The 21,244-nt window shown below is 40.1% G+C and overlaps 1 protein-coding gene across 6 annotated transcripts in view, besides 4 other annotated features; it reads right to left on the reverse strand.

The window, feature by feature from the left end:
* Positions 1–10,976, reverse strand: part of CSDE1 (cold shock domain containing E1) — a 41,069-nt gene extending 30,093 nt beyond the window's left edge. For 4 of the 6 annotated variants that reach the window (NM_007158.6, NM_001007553.3, NM_001130523.3 and 1 more), the window contains exons 1-2: positions 10,917–10,976; positions 2,813–3,199 (exon numbers count right to left, since the gene is read on the reverse strand). The gene's annotated coding sequence lies outside the window, so the exon portion shown is untranslated. The remainder of the gene's footprint in view (positions 1–2,812; positions 3,200–10,916) is intronic. The other 2 variants (NM_001242893.2, NM_001242892.2) reach the window with 1 other exon arrangement.
* Positions 10,373–10,692: an enhancer, noted in NCBI's record as "active region_1550". NCBI's record gives its function as "activates an Ori minimal core promoter by ATAC-STARR-seq in GM12878 lymphoblastoid cells {active_cell/tissue: GM12878}" and the evidence as "EXISTENCE:reporter gene assay evidence [ECO:0000049][PMID:35858748]".
* Positions 10,373–11,521: a biological region, named in NCBI's record as "NANOG-H3K27ac-H3K4me1 hESC enhancer GRCh37_chr1:115300157-115301150".
* Positions 10,528–11,521: an enhancer, noted in NCBI's record as "NANOG-H3K27ac-H3K4me1 hESC enhancer chr1:115300157-115301150 (GRCh37/hg19 assembly coordinates)". NCBI's record gives its function as "activates a minimal SCP1, AML or CMV promoter by ChIP-STARR-seq in naive H9 embryonic stem cells {active_cell/tissue: H9 hESC(naive)}" and the evidence as "EXISTENCE:reporter gene assay evidence [ECO:0000049][PMID:30033119]".
* Positions 10,893–11,182: an enhancer, noted in NCBI's record as "active region_1551". NCBI's record gives its function as "activates an Ori minimal core promoter by ATAC-STARR-seq in GM12878 lymphoblastoid cells {active_cell/tissue: GM12878}" and the evidence as "EXISTENCE:reporter gene assay evidence [ECO:0000049][PMID:35858748]".

The following is a 21,244-nucleotide window of genomic DNA, read 5'->3' on the forward strand; positions in this document are numbered from 1 at the left end:
TTTCAAGTATGAAAATTATTGCATTCAGCAGAAAAAACTAGGAGCGCGACAGGAATTTTCTAGTTTTGCTTTTCTCTTGTCTGTCACCTTTAGACTAACCTGGATCAAATCATTCACCAAACAATTCAGGTCTATTTTCACATCTCAAACAAATGCTTTATAAGCCTTATTCTTTCTTGCCATTTTATGGCTAATTCTACCCTTCTATATATATTTGTTCCTAATTACGTACTATTTTTACTGATTTTACAAAACCCCCCTTTAAAATCTGGGGGTTCCATTGCATTACCAAATCTGTTTTCTTAGCTGTGTGCCCCCTTTAACTGAACTATTTCACAACTGTACAACCACAGCCATGTTTTACTGCCAATAATCTTCATCCCAATTGTGGTTTCTTTGTACATATGTAAACATGTAATTTTTAGACAGCTATGGATGCATTTATATATTAAAATGTTCATGTAGTAAACTAATATTCAGAATACAAAGATTACACTAAACAAAAAGGACTTCGTTAAATCTATTTCTATAAATCATGTCAATGAAATGAAAGCCTTAATATCTAATCTTGCCAGGCACGGTGGCTCATGCCTGTAATCCCAGCACTTTGGGAGGCCGAGGCGGGTGGATCACAAGGTCAGGAATTCAAAACCAGACTGGCCAACACGGTGAAACCCCGTCTCTACTAAAAATACAAAAATAAGCCAGGCATGGTGATGCGCGCCTGTAATTTCAGCTACTCAGGAGACTGAGGCAGAAGAATCACCTGAACCTGGGAGGCAGAGGCTGCAGTGAGCCAAGATCACCCCACTGCACTCCAGCCTTGGCGACAGAGCAAGACTCTGTCTCAGAGAGGAAAAAAAAAAAAATCTAATCTTTTATGCTTCAGAACATAAAATTGTGGTTTCAATTTGTGTTAATCTTCCCTATCTAATCCAACAGAATCCACAACAATTAGTCTAAAATTATTTTTTAAAAATCAGCTAAGGTAAGAAGAAACAAATAGAAAAACTAAATGCTACAATTACCTTAAAATTAAATAACAGTGTCTGTTTATGAGACATAGATAATTTTACTATAGTTTTTAGTTGTTAAGGAATAATTCTAGTGCACAGCAAGGTCACTGACACTATTACATAATCCTTCAATAAATTGGAAATAAAGTCCTAAGCGCTTCTTGAAATAGCAGTGAAGCTTTTGTAACTGAATGACTTATTTTCATTCTTCATTTTATTTGACCTCTGTAGCATCTAAAAAAATGTTTACCATTGACTTCCTGAAATTATCGTTGGTGCTTTTTCCTGACTTCTATGTCTTTGCTCTCTTCATTGGTGCTTCTTCCTTTTATTACCTATACACTGATGACTCCTTTCTGAATTCCTTTATGTCTAACTTTAGAAAATCTGGAAACTAAAGATTAAAAAGGAAAATTGCTCTTCATAAGCCTACCCTCAAAGTTAACCACTGTTCAATATTCCATACTAGTGTATTTCCTTCAACTTCAGATTGCTATCTAATGAACACAATAGATTTCCATAACATATTTTAATATCAGTAAGTTACTACTCTAACTTCCCTATTCCTATGAACAATGAAGGTTTCTAGTTTGCACAACTGGATTTGATAAAGCCATTCTCTCCACATTTATCTTCAGATTCAATTGGTCCCCAAGTCCTCACTTCTAAATCATCAGAACACCTAGCACCTACCTTTTTCTCTACCTACACCTTAGCTTTTATCTTCCTTATACTTGATCCACTGCTTTTGACAGGTCTTCCCATCCTCAGCCTTTCCCTCAAAAGTGTCACCATTTGTCTTTTAAAGGTACACTTCTGAATATTACTTTAAAATGTGAAGCAATAAAGCTATCTTACTTTTGGGGGAAAAACCCTTAAGCCCTTGCTTATAGACATCTGATGGCTCTCCTACGGAATAAAGACAAATGCATTGGGCCAAGCCTCCAGCAAACTTCCCTTTCATAACTCTCCCGCAAAATTATATTCTCTACTCTGTTCATAATGAACAACTTAATATATACCATGTGCTTTCACGTAGCCCTGAATCTGCTAATTCTGTTACCTCTATACCTCTACCAATGTCTCTTCTACCTCTTAACAAGGTACTACTCACCTTCAAATATCCCTTTTCTGTAGGCTTTCTTTACCCTCCTCCTTACCTCCAAGGGAACAGCTTCAGTTATATTCTTAATATTTTATTAGTATCTTTTAGCCTATATTGTGATATTGTGTAACAAATTGTTCTAAATCATTAAGTCCATTAGTATCTTATTCATTCGTTATATTTCAGCACTAGCAATGCCTAACAATACAGTAGGCATGTCAACCATTTACAAATGTGCACTGTATACCGTTCACAAATATGCACTGCAAATGTAGGCATGGATATAAAGTAAGGTTCTTTCCTCAAGAAGCTAACATTGAAGACAGTAGAGAGAAAGAAACAGACGTCAGTAGCAAATATCACCAAAGTTTCACAGACCCTCATAGAAAGACTGCAATGCACATTCTTATTTGAAATCCTAACTTCTAAATAGTACAGACGGAGCTTCTCTAAGAGACCAGCAAGTCGAGAGATCAGCATGTATTAATATAATCTGGTATGAAAAATGTTTGACCATAAATACTGTCCTTATCTAACAAGAGATAGTGTTGATATTTCATACTAGTTGAGAATAGAAAAACTGTCTTCTGAATACCTTTAGAAAAGAACAAATAAAGATTTTATATTTGACCAAATAATCAGGAAATCTAGAATTATGGAACTGATTCTTAATAGGAAATTACAAACCTACCTCGCAGTGATACTCAAATATTGCACTTTCAGTAGTATTTGCTGATTCTTCTTTTTCAGCACACGTTTCAAAGGATGAAAGTTGCTAGTATTAAAAAAAAGAGCGAGAGAAAATGATCTACCAAGCTAATAAAGAATACAACTGCTGCTGTACCGGGCAATCTCACAGTACAGCACTGAAGAAAACAAAGACTACTAGCAGCGTTGGGAAGTGCTCTTTCAAAGCTGTTGAGTAGGCACAAACTTCTTGTTTCAGATCAAGTGTTGTGTCTTCAACTTAAGTGTACTCTTCTTTGGTCTTGTTAGTTGTTACGAGGTTTGTTCCTTGCCTGATCTGAACTTGAAGCAGCAGTTTCAGGTGGTAAAGTCTGTTCTGTTACACTTCATACTAAAGGTAAAAAATGAAGACATTAAGTATAACATACATAAAATAATCAGGGACAGTGGGTGAGAAGAGGGACAAACTCATTTCATTAACTTAGAATCATGGGTCATGCAAGTAATGCAGGAAACTTGGAAGCATGCTCATCTGATGTTATTTGGAGCAATCTCTCAAGTACTAGCAACTACCTCCTTTGGTATCTCATACCCAAGACCTCAAATTATTCCATAGTCTTTATTGACCTCTTCCCCCAAATAAGCTCAGTTACATGGCATAATGTTTAATTTAGTGCAAGTATTTTATAAGGATCTAGCTCTGTGGAAAACATAAAAGAAGTCCCTGCCATGAGAGCATAGACAATCTTGCTGAAAAGACAAGATGTAAACATGGAAAAAAAAAACAGAGTATAGGACAAAAATGCCAAAAATTATTTTGCTCAATTAGTATCTAGGTATCTATTATGTCACAGACTATCTAGAAATATTATTTATTGTTTATCCACAACTGCATGTCCATCAAAGCAACCAAGGCTTTTAAATAAGTGGAATTTGAAGTGAACCTGGAAAATCAGGCAGAATTCTAGGAGAAAGAAAATAGCTGAGTATTCTAGGCATGAAACAGCACATAAGTCAAGCGAGAATATGCCACTAAATTCTTTCTTCAGAGCAGCGACCATGCATTCTATGATTTTCTAAGCCCAGCATCAAGTGAAGTCTTCTGCATGAATGCCTGTGGCAACATGTGTGGCTTGTTGTTTCAGAGGAAAATCAACAGGCTAGCCTGGCTAGAACAGAGAGCTGGGCTGAAGTGAAATAGGATATGTAGTGTGACAGGTGTAGCGGAGCCCGATTATGAAGCATTTCAACGTGATGTAACAGGAAACAGTGCCTTAGTTTTTGATGAAAGTGGTATTAAGTCTTGAAATCCTAAAGGAGATGACTTAGTAAGCAAACAGAAATCTCATTTGCACTGCTGCAGTAAATAGATGAGAAATGTCTATAGAAGAGAAATAAAATTTATTTATCAGTAAAAATCACATTTCTGCTTTATATTAGCTATAAAATAAACAACAATTTTGCACTGACTCCAAAGTTACAAAATGGTGTTAACGAAAATTATTTCTACAGAGATAAGAAAAAGGTGTACGTGCTGAGAAATGGATATTTGAAAACATCAGAAGAATGATTATCAGGTGAGAGGTCAGAGCTGATTAAATAGCTCAGACCAGAAGAGCCTAATCGCAATCACTGGTACTAGTAAATACCATGAACAAGTTATTTAATCTCTCTAAGTTTCACTTTCCTCACATGTAAAATAAAAACTCAATAACAGCTGATCTGGCCATTTTCTATTCTCTAACATCCCATGTTCCTTCAAATATCAAATGTTACATACACTTGTCTGATCTTTCAACTTTATTTAGATCATTCTCCTATTACCCAGACTAGATATATGTCTCAGGGTAATGGTGCTCAAATACTTGGGAAGCTTTAAAAAAAAAAAAACAAAAACAAACCTATGCCCAGCCTCCACTCAGAGTAATACAACTGGTTTGAGGTAGGGCCACTTCTTTAACTATCTTGATTCTTCCCCTCTCCATCACCATACCCAATGTTGCAAGTTGTGTTAGTATTTCCCTCGCTATATCTTTTGTATTCATCTCTTATCCTACTAAGTGACATATTTTAGCTCAGGTGTCTAATATATCCGCCAACTTCCAGTGTGCACACTTTCCATTTTCTGTCACATACCACCACCAGACTATCAAAAACTTGAATTTTGGCCAGGTGAGTTGGCTCACGCCTGTAATCCCAGCACTTTGGGAGGCCTTGGCAGGAGGTCTGCTTGAGCCCAGGAGCTCCAGACCAGCCTGGGCAACGTGGAGAAACCCCATCTCTACTAAAAATACAAAAAATTAGCCAGGCATGGTGGTATACGCCTGGAGCCTCAGCTACTTAGGACTGGGAAGTCAAGGCTGCAGAGAACAAGATAGTGACACAGCACTACAGCCTGGGAGACAGATCAGAACCTTGTCTCAAAAAACAAAACAAAACAAAAACTCTCCAATTTCATTTCTCATCTCCCCTGTCAAACATCTTCAGTTATTTTTCCACCATTCTAGATGGGAAGTTTTTAATCCTGGCTATCCACCCACCCCCAGCAACCTTAAACAAACAAACAAACAAAAACCAACAAAATCAAAGCCTGAGTCCCGTACAAAGATTCTAAATTTAACTACACTAGGTTAGGTGCCAGGCCTTGTTATCTCCCCCCAACCCCTGCTCCAAGTGTTTCTGACTTCCAGCCAGGATTAAGAACTACTATTCCAGGTGTCTCTATTCTACCTTCCATCCTTACTCTCTACTGTGTTCCAGTTCTACCAGAAGTCCATTACCTCGCCTAATCCTTAAACACAACTCTTGGGAGATTCCTGAATTCTAGCCACCTTTGCTTATATGGGTCTTCCCACAAAAAAATACTATGTTGTGATCTTCAAGGTGACAAAAAAGCCTTTCTTGACCATTCCAGCAGACTCATTCATTAATTCCTACTAATGAATGGGGCAGTAACATCCACTGCCTGCACCAAGCAATTTGCAGCAAGTGATACCAAGCAATTTCTGTACTTTGTTTACTTCATGTTTTTATGTATCTTGTTCCTCCAATTCTATTTCAAATTTCTGAGAGGTAAACTCAAATTTCTTTATCACAGCCTCCTTTCGCACCTAATCCAGTGCTGCCATATACAACCAAAGGAAAAAGGTAGTTAATCCTTAATAAGCAAAAGGACGCCACAATTCAAGTGTAAACAGTTATGCCACAATTCAAGTGTAAACAGTTATACCACCTTTAATTATATAGTTTTAATTATCCAATCAAGAAATAATCTCTTCTTTAAAAAATACAGACTGTGTATATTGGTTTTATCTTAATGCTTTAGGTGTATTAATGAACCCAAAGAACTCAACATGGAGAAAACAAGTTATCTTGAAACACTTGAACTGGATTAACCCATTCCAGGTTGTCGTATCACATTAAGAACTGTCAAGTCCAAGATTCAGTAACACAAAAAAAGAGATTTCTGGAACTGAAACTCTGGAGTACTGCAGGGCCATTCTTAGGCACTAATGAGGTCTATTAGGAGCTATTAAAGCTCAAACGAACCCACCAACAGTCATGAATAATTTACTGGCCGAATTAACATCTTCACAGCTTCTATAGTTAACTAAATGTTTTTCAATTAAATTAACACTTACTGAAGAACTTAAAGGTATTGGTCAGGCAGTTTAATATAAATAGCTATCCACTCATGCCCGGATTAACATTAATTGGTGCTACTAACCACCTCTTTTGCCTTAACCCTAGGAACACAAGTGCATCTCCTCCATCCCCCTAAAAGCTTGAAACTTAAGTTGCATGAAACACTGGGTATTGGGCTGGGGTGGTGGCTCTCGCTTGTAATCCCCAGCACTGTGGCAGGCCAAGGTGGGAGGATTGTCTGAGACCAGCCTGGGCAACATGGTGAGATGCTGTCTCTACAAAAAATTTTAGAAATAAAAAATAAATTCACTGGGTGTGGTGGCATGCACCTGTAGTCCCAGCTACTCGGGAAGCTGAGGCAGGAGGATCACTTGAATCCAGGAGTTTGAGGCTGCAGTGAGCTATGACTGTGCCACTGCACTCTTGCCTGGGCGACAGAGTAAGACGCTGACTCAAAACAATCGCCCCCACAAACCCACCATAGGGTACCAATAAAAACACTAGGGAACAATTTAAATGTGTATCTGAGAATCATACTGTGTGCTAAGTAATCAACTCCTTTTCCCTTTGCTCAGCATGGAAATAGTATTATTACTTAATCACTGCAATCTCCACCTCCCGGGTTCAAGCGATTCTCCTGCCTCAGCCTCCCCAGTAGCTGGGACTACAGGCGTGTACCACCAGGCCTGGCTGGCTAATTTTTGTATTTTTAGCACAGATGGGGTTTCACCATGTTGGTCAGGCTGGTCTCGAACTCCTGACCTCAAGTGACCCACCTGCCTCAGCCCCCCAAAGTGCTGGGATTACAGGCGTGAGCCACTGCACCTGGCCACCACCTGTTTTATTTCATGTCTTCCTCGGCTGTTTTACCTCAAAGGCCTAGCATAAGCCATGACATAGTCGGCACTAAATGAAGAGGTTAAACTAACACATTTATGTGGTAAGTAATCCATCTAAAATGTATCACACTACCTAGTTTATTATTTTGAAAGTATGTGCAGCACTCACTTCGGGAAAAGTTAATGAAAGGCTAAGCCAGTCTACAAAAGTCTGCTCACCTAACCCACTTCCTTTAGGCAGTATCTTCTTTTAGGCAGGAAAAAACAAAGACCCAAATAGGTAGCATAGGACTGAAAAGTTTCTCTATTGCCTGACATTTCATTGAGCACCACATTTTATAACTGAAGTGCTTAATAGGTCTTAATTCATTTTTACTTTAGGATCTAAGGTAAACGATAAACTCTAGATAATTAACCAACCTAAGTCATCTGTTGAGTAAAAATAAAAAATCAAACTGACACAACTATCTTTTTGTATCTGTGTAGTAACAACTGTGCTGGATTAATTATCTAAACAGCTACTGAGATATTTAAAATTATCTATCACTTAACTGCTTATATATACACCCAGAAACCTAATAGTTTTAAGCAGGACAAATGGCAGTGTGGGAAGATGCTGAAGAAACATTCTAGACACATCAGAAAACACCACAGACCAGCAGTTTCCAACAGAAATACAGTGTAATTATAATTCTAGTAACCATATTACAGTCAAAAGAAACAGAAGGAATTTTAATTAAACGTCTTATTTAACCAATTATATCCAAAATGTTATTCTCTACAGGCAATCAATGTAAAAAAATTGACACTGTTACATTCCTTGAAATCCAATGTTATTATACAATCACAGCACATTTCAATTCAAACTAGTCACACTTCAAGTGCACAACAGCCACACGTGGCTGGCGGCTACCATGTTCCACAGAGTAGGTATAAACTGAGCAGGGGTCTAAAAAAGCACTATTGTGCCAATTAGCAACAGGAAGTAAATGTAAGGGTCTTGAGCAAAGATTTTCACTAATAAAAGTAGGCAGTATCTAGCATAGAAGCTTGTTGTTAATAAATTGGAGAAAAAGAAGTGCAAATAACTGGTTATGTACCGGCTGTAGCTGCAAATCAACGGATAGCTTACATGTGCAACATAGGGGAAACTGATAATTTTCAGCCACACACTGTTTTACCTCAGCATAAAAGGACATTAAAATATTAAAAAGTTTTGTGTTGTTTTTAACTAGGTACCCACACATGCAAGTGGAAAACATTCTAATATCAAAACAAAGGACTTTTTAAAATCCTGACTGGGCAGAAGGGATTTAACAGCAAGTCACTCTCACCATAGTAGTTTCACCACTTACAACAGTCTAGCTATTAAAGCTTACAAAATAGATCTCAAAGTGCTTCCTCTTCTGTTTTCTGCAAGGACAAAGCTAAGAAGAAGGCACATCAATTCTTTGTGTTTACTTAACAAGATCAAGATTTTTATCTCATTTTGCAATACAGTCCTGAAATTCAACTCCTCAAAAATCTGTCCAAAAGAACATCGTTCCAAAATTTCCATGTTTTAACTACCTTGTCGAAAGTATGGCTCTCACAACAGTTTCAATAGACTTAGTGCCACTGAACTGTACAATGAAAAACACTGGAACACTAAATTTCATGTTATGAATGCTCCAGCATAATTTGATATTTTAGCATTTTGTTTGTTTAAAACAAAAATCGATGGCCCTACACGATGTGTCTTCAGGTGGGGAGAAGGGAAAATAAGGGTAGAGGGTAAAGCCAGACTGCACGTCAGCTTTCACGCTTTCAATTTTGATTTGCTAGGACTTTACCAGATTTTCACCCACACTCGCTAAAGGTCACACTTAAGTCAGTACTTACAAAAAAAGAAAACCTATCTTCTGTGCCTCAAATACTTTAGTTTTCAACTCAGCTGCTATAAATAATCATCTCGATGGTAAACATCCAGAACAGCTGCAAAACCAAACTATTACCTTCTCTTTTATTTTAGTCCCAGGGCTAAAACGAAACAAAAAGAAGGCCAAATATTTATCTAAGTTTTATGACTCAGGTATATCCCTACTGAAGTATATAAAGCCCCTCCTTACCCACACCAAGGATATCCATTATTGGTTAGTACCAAAAGAAAACCAAGGTATGTATTATAGTGCTCCTCAATGCAATATCAAGAATGTTTGCCTTTAGTTACTCAAAATGAAAATTACTCAGCATTTTAGTATAGAGTAGCTTATATCTGTGGGCTATAATTTGAAACCTACATTCTAAAAAAGTAGGTTAGTAGCAGTGGCTGAGAACTGCCAGTTCATACCAGCCTGATGAAAATTTAAGCCTCTCAAAAAGATTTAACTACCACAGTGCCTTTGAGCATTCTCCCTCTCCGCCCTGTCTCCCAACTGTTTAAAGAGCGCCATATTCTTTTACTCATTTAAGGTGCAAAACACGAAAATTAACTTGCCCAACAACGTTCAGATATTCTTTGCAGATTCAAGCCTGTTTCAGGGAGCGTTCTCTGCTTCACCTGTGAGTTAAGCAAGACGGCCGCCATCTGGGTGTTTCTAAGGGAAAACCTTAAAGCAAAAGAACCTTGGCACTAAGATTTCGTATTGATAAAATAGCATGGCAAAAATTTGAAGCTGTCTCCGACGGGGGAACTCTAAAACATTCTACATAGAATGACGAAGCCAGGCCGTTCATTGCACAATGTGGGTGGGCCAGGCGCTGGCACCATGAGAACTACAGGAGGTGGAAGGGAGGACACTACTGAGCTTTCAGGGCGCACGCCCATTCCCCAAGATAGAGGGGTGGGAGCCACGTGCCTAAAAGATTAGGGACTGGTTCCCTTTCTCAAGACGCCGAAGGGGAGACAATGAGGGGAAGGTTGGGTGCTGAGACCCTGCTCTAGGTGACTGGAGTAACGATGTCAATTCCGCCACACTACTGTGCCAGATGTGGCTGGGGAAAGGTGTCTTTAAACACTTCCCCTAAGATATCTAGATGGAGCAGGGTCTCAGTCTATACACAAAGAAGGCGCCACTGCCGCACTGCGCTCTGGTACTGGTAGTCAGATTCCCAAGCAGGTAACGGCCAGGAAACTACAGGGTCCAGAGTCAAAGTAGGCCCCTCTTCTCGGTCTCAGGCTCTTCCAACCTCACACAAAGGACCGCGCCACCACCCCCTCGCCCCGCCCGCCGGGACATGTAGTTCCCGTTTCCCCAGACAAGCCGCAGATGGGGAAGCAGCCAGACTACAGATCCCAGCAGCCTCCGCGCCCGAGCCCCGCACCCTCTGCCTCCATCTTGGCTGCTGTCGGAGCCTCCATTTTCGCTCCCTCCCCCCACTTTAGTCACCACCACCACTACCACCACGCGCAGCCGGCTGGCCTCAACTCCTCGTTTCAGCTCTGCGACCTGACATGAGGCCCAGGCAGTTGAACGGGAGACGTATGAAAAAGCCCAGGGCAGGGAATCGGGGTGCATTCTTCCCCACCTAGAGCTCTACGAGTGCCCACCTTGACTCAGAAGGCTTCTCGTTAGCCTTGGTCTTATTCTCAGCCCTTCCCCTGGGTTTCTGCTACCCCCAGTTGGACCCTGAGGTCGTACTCACCCCAACAGCTCAGCGCCCCCTCTCCAGCGCCGCCATAAGCAGCACGGCCCGGTACGTAGGAATAAATCTCGCTTCTCTCGCGAGAGTTGCGGGCTCCGGGCGCGTGCACGAGAAGGGGCGGAGTGAAGCGTACTCTCAACACGCTTGCGCAGCAGGGCTAAGTGACGCCAAGCAGTTTGCTGCACTTAACCACAACCAACATGGTGGCTGCATTACATTACATTCCTTCTTGGGTGTGCTGCGGGAAGCAATCTCGGTGTTTACTGACTCCTCCTGGACACTAGGGGTGGCGGGTGGCTTTAGGCGTCTCTAGTCTTCGAGCGTTTGAATACGTTTTAGCCCACAATAATGGGGTAAACCTTGAAGGCCAACAATTCTGATGGCATATTCAGGAGTCATAAAAAATGATTTATCTTTTCCCAGCAAAAATCCGGAAGGACCTCACACTCGTTTCTTCTTATAGTGCAAGCATTCTTTCTTACGTCTACTGTTTTAGAGGAATTTCATTAGTATAGAGTCAGCTTTGTAGCAAGGTAATTTAGAAATCTAAATGAGACCTTTGTTTTCCACGAAAAACATTGCAACAGATGCACAAGAGTGAGCAAGGCTGCATAATCACTAAACAAAATGAAACAAATTCAGTCAACTGACCTTTCAAGTTACGAAAGATATTCCTGTTGTGTCAGGTAATCAAAGAGGGTGGATCAGTAATTAAAAGGTTGAAATAAGAGCAAAGAGATGATTCATCCAATGGGGGAAGAAGGAAGGAGAAAAATGGGTAATTATGACCACAGGAAGTTCAATGGATTATCCCCTGCCAGACAGTAGAGCATGCTCCTCTGGTGAGAGGAATGCTTTTCCCAGATTCAATGCTTCTGTTTTCACAGATTCACTGGCTCTCTCACTTGACAGTATTGGATAAATAATGAGCAGCCAGTCTTCTGAGAACTCTCCTACCCACTTTTTGCTTACAACACATTTATTTGACATGTTGTATGTGTAACCACTGGGAAGTATACAGTTGTAAAGAAAATCGGATATAGACTTGTCCTCAAGGAACTTTTAGTCTAGCATCATTGATGATCACAAAAACAAATCTAAACATACACATTGGAATAAGTGCAATGAAGGAAAGACAACCTTCAATTCAACCTCTTGAATTCTAAGAGGAGGCCGTGTCCCATTTCTGTTCAAAAATTTCCTCACCACCTTTGTTGCTGGTGTCCAGTCCCATGTATAACACCTCAAAACTGCCTTTTTGCTCTCTTTGATGCCTTCCCACGCTTTCCTAAGCACAAATATTTGCTTCATTTTCAATGCTTTCATAGCTCACTCTATTGTAATTATTAGTTTTTACTAGGTAGTAATACTCTAGCACAGAGCTTATGAAATTCATCTTTGCATCCCTGGTTGTTGACAGTGCCCGCTCTCAACAACTCTCAAAAGCTTGTTGAATAAATAGCACTGGACAACAGTATGATAAGTTGTTAGAAATTGGAATATATTTCTGGGAAACTACAGAATGTAAATTTTTTTTTTTTTCAGATGGAGTTCACTCGTGTTGCCTAGGCTGGAGTGCAATGGCATGATCTCAGCTCACTGCAACCTCCGCCTCCCGGGTTCAAGCAATTCTCCTGCCTCAGCCTCCTGAGTAGGTGGGATTACAGGCGTGCACCACCACACCCGGCTAATTTTTGTATTTTTGGTAGAGACAGGGTTTCACCATGTTGGCCAGGCTGGTCTCGAACTCCAGATGTCGTGATCCACCCGCCTCAGCCTCCCAAAGTGCTGGGATTACAGGCATGAGCCACCGCACCCGACCTAATTTTGTATTTTTAGTAGAGACAGAGTTTCTCCATGTTGGTCAGGCTGGTCTCCAACTCCTTACCTCAGGTGATCCGCCCACCTCGGCCTACCAAAGTGCTGGGATTGCAGGCATGAGCCACCACGCCTGGCCCAGAATGTAAATATTTCAAACCAGCTGTTTTGTTTAATTCACCCAGTTCTTAAATCGAGATCTCCCCTTCCTGCAATACAGCTGGTCTGTGTATTCTAATCTAATGTTATAGAGAAACTGTACCAGGCTCTTGCGCTAGATATGAGGTCATGTGAAACTAATTAGGTAATTAGGTAATTCTACTTTTAGTATACATTCTCAAATATCACAGCAATAGGAAATGTAAAAAAAAAAAAGTCTTACTAAATTATATCAATACAATTACTATTAATAAGGAAGGATAAAGCCTTGATTTCTACCATTACACATAGCTTCTGAAAACCTTCTTTAATTATATAATCATTTCATCATCATCATTCTGAATATATCCCAATTGTCTTTAAATTCCTTTAAATTCCTCCTTGTTCCAAAATTAATATCAATTTACATTTAACACAAAATGCAGTCTGTATAAACCGAGAAATATACATTTTAGCTTCTAATGCATTAAAGAAAGTAACAGGTGGAACAATTTGATATAAATCACAAGTTAAAATGATTTACTGTTTCTACAAGTAAAACCCACAAACAGAAGTAGGTTTCATTATTAGATCACTACATAATGATTTTTTTCAGATGAATTTTGAAGTCAAATCAAAAACTGAAAAAATGTGGTTATCTTTTTATGTTTTTTTTTAAATTAAATCAGAAACTTGTTAAATCACTTTGGAAAACCATCTCCTATGCAACAGGGTGACATGGATTTTGGGAAGATAGTCTGTTAAGGAACCATCAGAAAAAAATTTGAGAAATTATTTTTAGTTATTCATCATATTTAGTTTTCTACTCTGAAAAACTTAGACAATGAAATTGATAATGATTGTGTGCTTTTTTTCCCTCTACAATCATCAATAAGTACATTATCTCTGAAGTCTACTTTAGAATCAAAAGTAAGCATTTCTTACAGTTTGTAAGGTTTTCTTGAGCAGCGGTGGGTGAGATTTTTGTCATTTCTCTGTCGAATGAGAAAAATTAGGTCAATATAGAGCTTTTTTAAAAAAATTAAATAAGGCTAAATTTATTCCAGATTTTAAGAGTTGTTTTTATTCTGACATGTCCTCCCTGTTTAGGGAAACTAAAGAGGATCTTCTTTTATAAAATTATGATAGGCTGGGCACGGTGGCTCACAACTGTAATCCCAGACTTTAGAAGCCAAGGTGGGAGGATCGCTTGAGCTCAGGAGTTCCGGACCAGACTGGGCAATGTAGCGAAACCCCGTCTTTACAAAAAAATTGAAAATTAGCCAGGCATGGTGATGCATGTGTGGTCCCAGCTACTCAGCAGGCTGAGATGGGAAGACTGCTTAAGCCTGGGAGGTCATGGCTGCAGTGAGCCATAATCGTGCTATTGCACTTCAGCCTGGGCAACAGAATGAGACAAGGTCTTAAAAAATATTTCATTAAATAAGATAAAATTATGATAATAGTGCATGGTAAAGAGGTCCACATCCAAGGTTTCAGAACAGAAATAATACTTCTAGAGCAAAAACATTCATAAAGAAGAATTATTTCCATAAGAATTAATGTAAATAATTAAGATTTGGTCCTATAGGCCTACAACCCAAAACTTTTTATTCTTTAACCAGCCTCTAAACAGTTAAAGGGCATTATATAAATAAGAATAACATAATACCACTAATGTAATAAAATATTAGAATTTAAATAAGAATGCAAAAGCTTTATATAATGCTTCCCTTTAAAATGTTAAAATTGCACTTAATAGGATAATTATGTGGACATGCTAAAATGCTGCACCAAAAGTAACCATCTAACATTGTAGCTCTGGGAGTCAGTTAATAGAGGGAAGGGTAGAGCAACAGAATATTTATAATTTAACTTAAACTGAATCCTGATGAAATCCAATTGTATTTAACATAAATCCAAACTCTTTTACTGTGCTCTTCAAGGCCCTGAATGATATAGTCCCCACCAAATTCTCTAACCCCTGGTTAACTGGTTCTTCCTATATTGTAAGTTTGTTCCTACTTCAAGGCCCATGAATTTACTGTTGTCTCTGCCTGGAATGTTCTAGCCCAAATCTTTGGGCACTTTCTCATCATTCAGATTTCAGGTCAAATGTTAACCACTTTACAAAGGCCTTTTCTAAAGTAAAAGTACCCACTAAACTATCAGTTTCCATTTGTTTATTGCTCATCCCTCTGAACTACAGCATAAGCTTCAATTCTCTAGTTCATCATTGTATCCCCAAAACCTGGCACAGTGACTTACGTATACAGTAAATACTTAAACAATATTCATTGAATGAGTAAATTTCACTTATTTTATTGAATCCAAGGCAGTAGTGATTGTATGGTAGGTCATCATTTATGGATTACTAATAAGAAAATATGTAGCCATTGCTATAAAGACACATGCACACATATGTTTATTGCAGCACTATTCACAATAGCAAAGACTTGGAACCAGTCCAGATGTCCATCAATGATAGACTGGATTAAGAAAATGTGGCACATATACACCATGGAATACTATGCAGCCATAAAAAAAGATGAGTTAATGTCCTTTGTAGGGACATGGATGAAGCTGGAAACCATCATTCTCAGCAAACTATCGCAAGGACAAAAAACCAAACACCGCATGTTCTCACTCATAGGTGGGAATTGAACAATGAGAACAGTTGGACACAGAAAGGGGAACATGACACACCAGGGCCTGTCGTGGGATGGGGGAGGGGGGGAAGGATAGCATTAGGAGATATACCTAGTGTAAATGACGAATTAATGGGTGCAGGACACCAACATGGGACATGTATACATATGTGACAAACCTGCGCGTTGTGCACATGTACCCTAGAACTTAAAGTATAATTTAAAAATAAATAAATAAATAAAATAACCCTAAAGCTCTAGAAGAAAATATGTAGCCATTTTCATTATTGATATGGTTTGGTTGTGTCCTCTCCTGAATCTCATCTTGAATTGTAGTTCGAATAATCCCCACATGTCATGGGAGGGATCCAATGGGAGGTAATTGAATCATGTGGGCAGTTACCCTCATGCTCCTTTTCTTGTGATAGTGAGTTCCCATAAGATCTGATGGTTTTATAAGGGGCTTTCCCCCCTTTGCTCAGCACTCATTCTCCTTCCTGCCACCAAGTGAAGAAGGATATGTTTGCTTCCCCTTCCACCATGATCATAAGTTCCCTGAGGCCTTCCCAGCCAAGCTGAACTGTGAGTCAGTTTAACTTCTTTCCTTTATAAATTACCCAGTCTTGGGTGTGTCCTTATAGCAGTATGAGAATGAATTAACACAACAAATTGGTACCAGGAGTTAGTGGGTCACTGCTATAAGGATACCCGAAAATGTGAAAGCGACTTTGGAACTGGTAACAGGTAGAGTCTGGAACAGTTTTGAGGGCTCAGAAGAAGAAAATGTGGGAAGGTTTGGAAATTCCTAGAGAATTGGGGACTCAGAAGACAGGAAGATGTGGGAAAGTTTGGAACTAAAATGCCGATAATAATATGGACAATGAAGTCCAGGCTGAAGTGGTCTCAGATGGAGATGAGGAACTTGTTGGGAACTGGAATAAAGGTGATTCTTGCTATGCTTTAGCAAAGAGATTGGCAGCATATTGCCCCTATCCTAGAGATCTGTGGAACTTTGAACTTAAGAGAGAGAATTTAGGGTATCTAATGGAAGAGGTTTCTAAGTGGCAAAGCATTGAAGAGGTGGCTTGGGTGCTCTTAAAAGCATTCAGTTTTATGCATTCACAAATATATGGTTTGGAATTGGAACTTGTATTTAAAAGGGAAGCAGAGCATAAAAGTTTAGAAAATTTGCAGCCTGATGATGCAGTAGAAAAGAAAAACCCATTTTCTGGGGAGAAATTCAAGCTGGCTGTAGAAACTTGCGTAAGTAATGAGGAGACAAATGCTAATCATCCAGACAATGGGGAAAATGTCTCCAGGGCATGTCAGAGACCTTCATGGCAGCCCCTTCCATCACAGGCCTGGAGGCCAAGGAAGGAAAAATAGTTTCCTGAGCCAGGCCCAAGACCCCCTGCTCTGTGCAGCCTTGGGATATGTGCAGCCTTGGGACACGGTGTCCTAAGTCCCAGCTACTTCAACTCCAGCTGTGGCTAAAAGGGGCCAAGGTACAGCTCAGGCCATTATTTCAGAGGGTGCAAGCCCCAAGCCTTGGCAGCTGACACATGGTGTTGGGCCTGTGAGTGTGCAGAAGTCAAGGATTGAGGTTTGGGGACCTCCGCCTTGATTTCAGAGGATGTACGGAAATGCCTTGATGTCCAGGCATTAGTTGGCTGTAGAGGTGGAGCCCTCATGGGGAACCTCTGCTAGGGGAGTGAAGAAGGGAAATGTGGGGTTGGAGCCCCCACACAGAGTCCCCACTGGACACTGCCTAATGGAGCTGTGAGAAGAGGGCCATCATCCTCCAAACCCCAGAATGGTAGATCCACTGACAGCTTGCACCGTATGCCTGGATAAGCTGCAGACACCTAACGCCAGCTGTGAAAGCAGCTGGGAGGGGGGCTGTACCCTGCAAAGCCACAGGGGTGGAGCTGCCCAAGGTTGTGGGAGCCCACCTCTTGCATCAATGTGACCTAGATATGAGACATCAAGTCAGACGAAGGAAATCATTTTGGAACTTTAAGGTTTGATGATTGGTGTAATGGATTTTAGGCTTGCATGGGGACTATTGCCCCTTCGTTTTGGCCAATTTCTCCCATTTGGAAAGGGTATATTTACCCAGTGCCTGTACCGCCATTGTATCTAGGAAGTAACTAACTTGCTTTTGATTTTATAGGCTCATAAGGGAAGGGTCTTGCCTTGTCTCAGATGAGACTTTGGACTTGGACTTTTGGGTTAATGCTGGAATGAGCTAAGACTTTGGAGGACTGTTGGAAAGGCAAGATCATGTTTTGAAATATGAGGATATGAGATTCGGGAGGGGTCATAGGCGGAGTGATGTGGTTTGGCTGTGTCCTCACCCAAATCTCATTTGGAATTGTAGTTCCCATAATGTCCACATGTCGTGGGAGGAACCTGATGGGAGGTAATTGAATCATGGGGGCTGTTACCCCTGTGCCACTGTTCTCATGATAGTGAGTGAGTTCTCACAATATCTAATGGTTTTATTTGTATTTATTTATTTATTTATTTTTGAGACGGAGTTCTGCTCTTGTTGCCCAGGCTGGAGTGCAATGGCACGATCTCAGCTCACTGCAACTTCGGCCTCCTGGGTTCAAGCAATTCTCCTGCCTCAGCCTCCCAAATAGCTGGGATTACAGGTGTGTACCACCACGCCCAGCTAATTTTGAGTTTTTTTTTTTTTTTTTTTTTTTTTTTTTTTTTTTTTTTACTAGAGATGGGCTTTCACCATGTTGATCAGGCTGGTTTTGAACTCCTGCCCTCAAGTGATCCACCCACCTCGTCCTCCCAAAGTGCTGAGATTACAGGCATGAGCCACCACTCCCAGCCTATCTGATGGTTTTATAAGGGGCTTTTCCCCCTTTTGTCAGCACTCATTCTCCTTGCTACCATGTGAAGGACGTGTTTGTTTCCCCTTCTGCAATGATTGTAAGTTTCCTGAGGCCTCCCCAGCCTTTCAGAACTGAAAGTCAATTAAACTTCTTTTCTTTATAAATTACCCAGTCTCGGGTATGTCCTTATAGCAGCACGAGAACTGACTAATACAATTATGAAATAAAACTTTCACTACTTAGAATTTTTATATTTATTGAAAGGGCTATTTTAAACTTTTTTTTTTTTTGGAGACAGGGTCTCAGTCTGTTGTCCAGGGTGGATTGCAGTGGCATGATCTCAGCTCACTGCAGCCTCCATCTCCCAGGCTCAAGCAATCCTCCTGCCTCAGCCACCTGAGTAGCTGGGACTATAGGCATGCACCACCACGCCTGGCTAATTTTTGTATTTTTTTGTAGAAATGGGGTTTTGCGATGCCCAGGCTGGTCTTGAACTCTTGGGCTCAAGCAGTCCTCCTGCCTCAGCCTTCCAAAGTACTGGGATTACAGGAATGAGCCACCTGTGCCCTGCCTAGACATAGATTTAAATCATGTCTCCCTTTTGTGTGTATATGAAGTAAAAAAAAAAAAAAATGGCAAAATAAATTTGTTAAGGTATTCCTAAAACTTCTTCACAAAGTCTAACTCTTCTGAATCTCTTTCTTTTCAGTAATAAATTTGACCATATTTTAAAAATTCCATTCATCATGAGGCAACATAAAAAAGTTTAAAAAATCAACAGACTAGTATATTTGCATTATATAAAAAATGTATTGGTATCATGAATATATAATACATTAATAAGAAAAAGCCAAAAGGAAAGAAAAGGAAAATGGAGAAAATACTTGAAGGTCCATATTTTTTTTAAAACCTGTATAGGCAAATACTTGAAATTATACCCAGCCTCATTAGAAATCAGGGGGATGAACTTTTTTTTTTTAGATTTTTACACTTACAGAAGAGGTAGAAAAATAGTACAGAAAGTTTCCATAAACTCTGTACTTGCTTCTCCTATTTTAACCTTACATAACTATAGAACAATTTTCAAAACTAGGAAATCAACTTTGACATGATAATATGACTTGAAATACAAAATTAATTTGGGCTGCACCAGTTATTCCAACAATGTCCATTTTCTCCTCCAGGATCAAATCTAGGATCCCACACTGCATTTAGTTTTTATGTCTCCTTTGTCTCCCTTCTATGACAGTTCTTTAGTCTTTGTCTTTTACAACTTTAACACTGAAACAGGCTGGGTGTGACGGATCATGGCTGTAATCCCAGCACTTTGGGAGGCCGAGGCGGGCGGATCACTTGATGTCAGGAGTTTGAGACCAGCCTGGCCAACATGGTGAAACCCCGTCTCTAGTAAAAATACAAAAATTAGCTGGGCGTGGTGGCAGGCCCCTGCAATCTCAGCTACTCTGGAGGCTGAGGCTCTAGAATTGCTTGAACTCAGGAGGTAGAGGTTGCATTGAGCGGAGTGAACTCAGGAGGTAGAGGTTGCAGTGAGCCTGGGCAACAGAGTGAGACACTGACTCTCTCTCTCTCTCTATATATATACTTTAAAACAGTATCAGTCAGCTATTTTGCAGATTTCCCTCAATTTGGTTTTGTCTGATGTTTTCTCTTGATTAGATTGAGGTTATACATTATTTGGAACACTACAGAGGTTATGTGCCTATCATTGCTCAATATCAGGGGTATATAATGTTGAAGTGTATTATTACAATTATTATTATTGAGATGAGGTCACGCTTGTCGCTCAGGTTGGAGTACAGTGGCATGATCTCGACTCACTGCAGCATCCACCTCCTGGGTTCAAGCAATCTTCCCACCTCAGCTTCCCAAGTAGCTGGGATTATAGGCGCCCACCACCACGCCCGGCTAATTTTTCCATTTTTAGTAGAGACGGGGTTTCACCATGTTGACCAGGCTGGTCTTGAACTCCTGACCTCAGGTGATCCACCCACCTCGGCCTCCCGAAGTGCTGGGATTACAGGTGTGAGCCACCTTGTCCAGCCATTGAAGTGTATTATTAATGATGTTTACCTTAATCAGTTGATGTCTGCCAGGATTCTCCATTGTAAAATTACTACTTTTCCCTTTGTAATTAGTGAGTATTTGGGGGCAGGGCAATGCTTTGGTAATGTACTGAATTGAATAGTGTCCCCCCTAAATTCATTCCCACCCAGAACCTTAGAATATGACCTTATTTAGAAATAGGGCCTTTGTGGAGGTAATCAAGTTAAGATAAAGTCATACTGGATTAGAGTGGGCCTGAATCCAATGAGTAGCGTCCTTAGAAGAGAGAATTTTATACACTGACTAGAGACATGCAGGGAGAATGCCATATGAAGACAAGAGATTGAAGTGATACATCTAGAAATCAGGGAACAGGAATTGCCAGCAACCCCAGAAGCTAGGAGAGGGGCATGGAACACATTCTCCCTGAGACTTCTAGTCTCCAGGACTACGAAAGAATAAATTTGTTTTAAGCCACCCAGTTTGAGTTCATTTGTAATGGCAACTCTAGGAACTAACGCAAACGTATATAAATATCCTGTTTTTGCTTAAATTTTAGCCCACTATTCATTGGTGCATCTTGCTGAATCTTTCTGGTTCATAGATATCCAGGTTTTCCCACATAGAATTATTTTGAGCCCACCAAGAACACTGATAATGTAGCATTTCCTCAAAGAGTGCTTCATGGTTTCCAGGATTTTATTCTGAGCTGCTAAAAGCCACTGGAGTAGGTAGAATTCCAAGCTGGCCACCAAGATTCCCACTGGTGTCGTACGTGTCTTGTATCATCCCATCTTAAGCATAGGTGAAA

The sequence above is a fragment of the Homo sapiens genome, chromosome 1 (genome assembly GCF_000001405.40).
Source record: "Homo sapiens chromosome 1, GRCh38.p14 Primary Assembly".
Classification (NCBI taxonomy): Eukaryota; Metazoa; Chordata; class Mammalia; order Primates; family Hominidae; genus Homo; species Homo sapiens.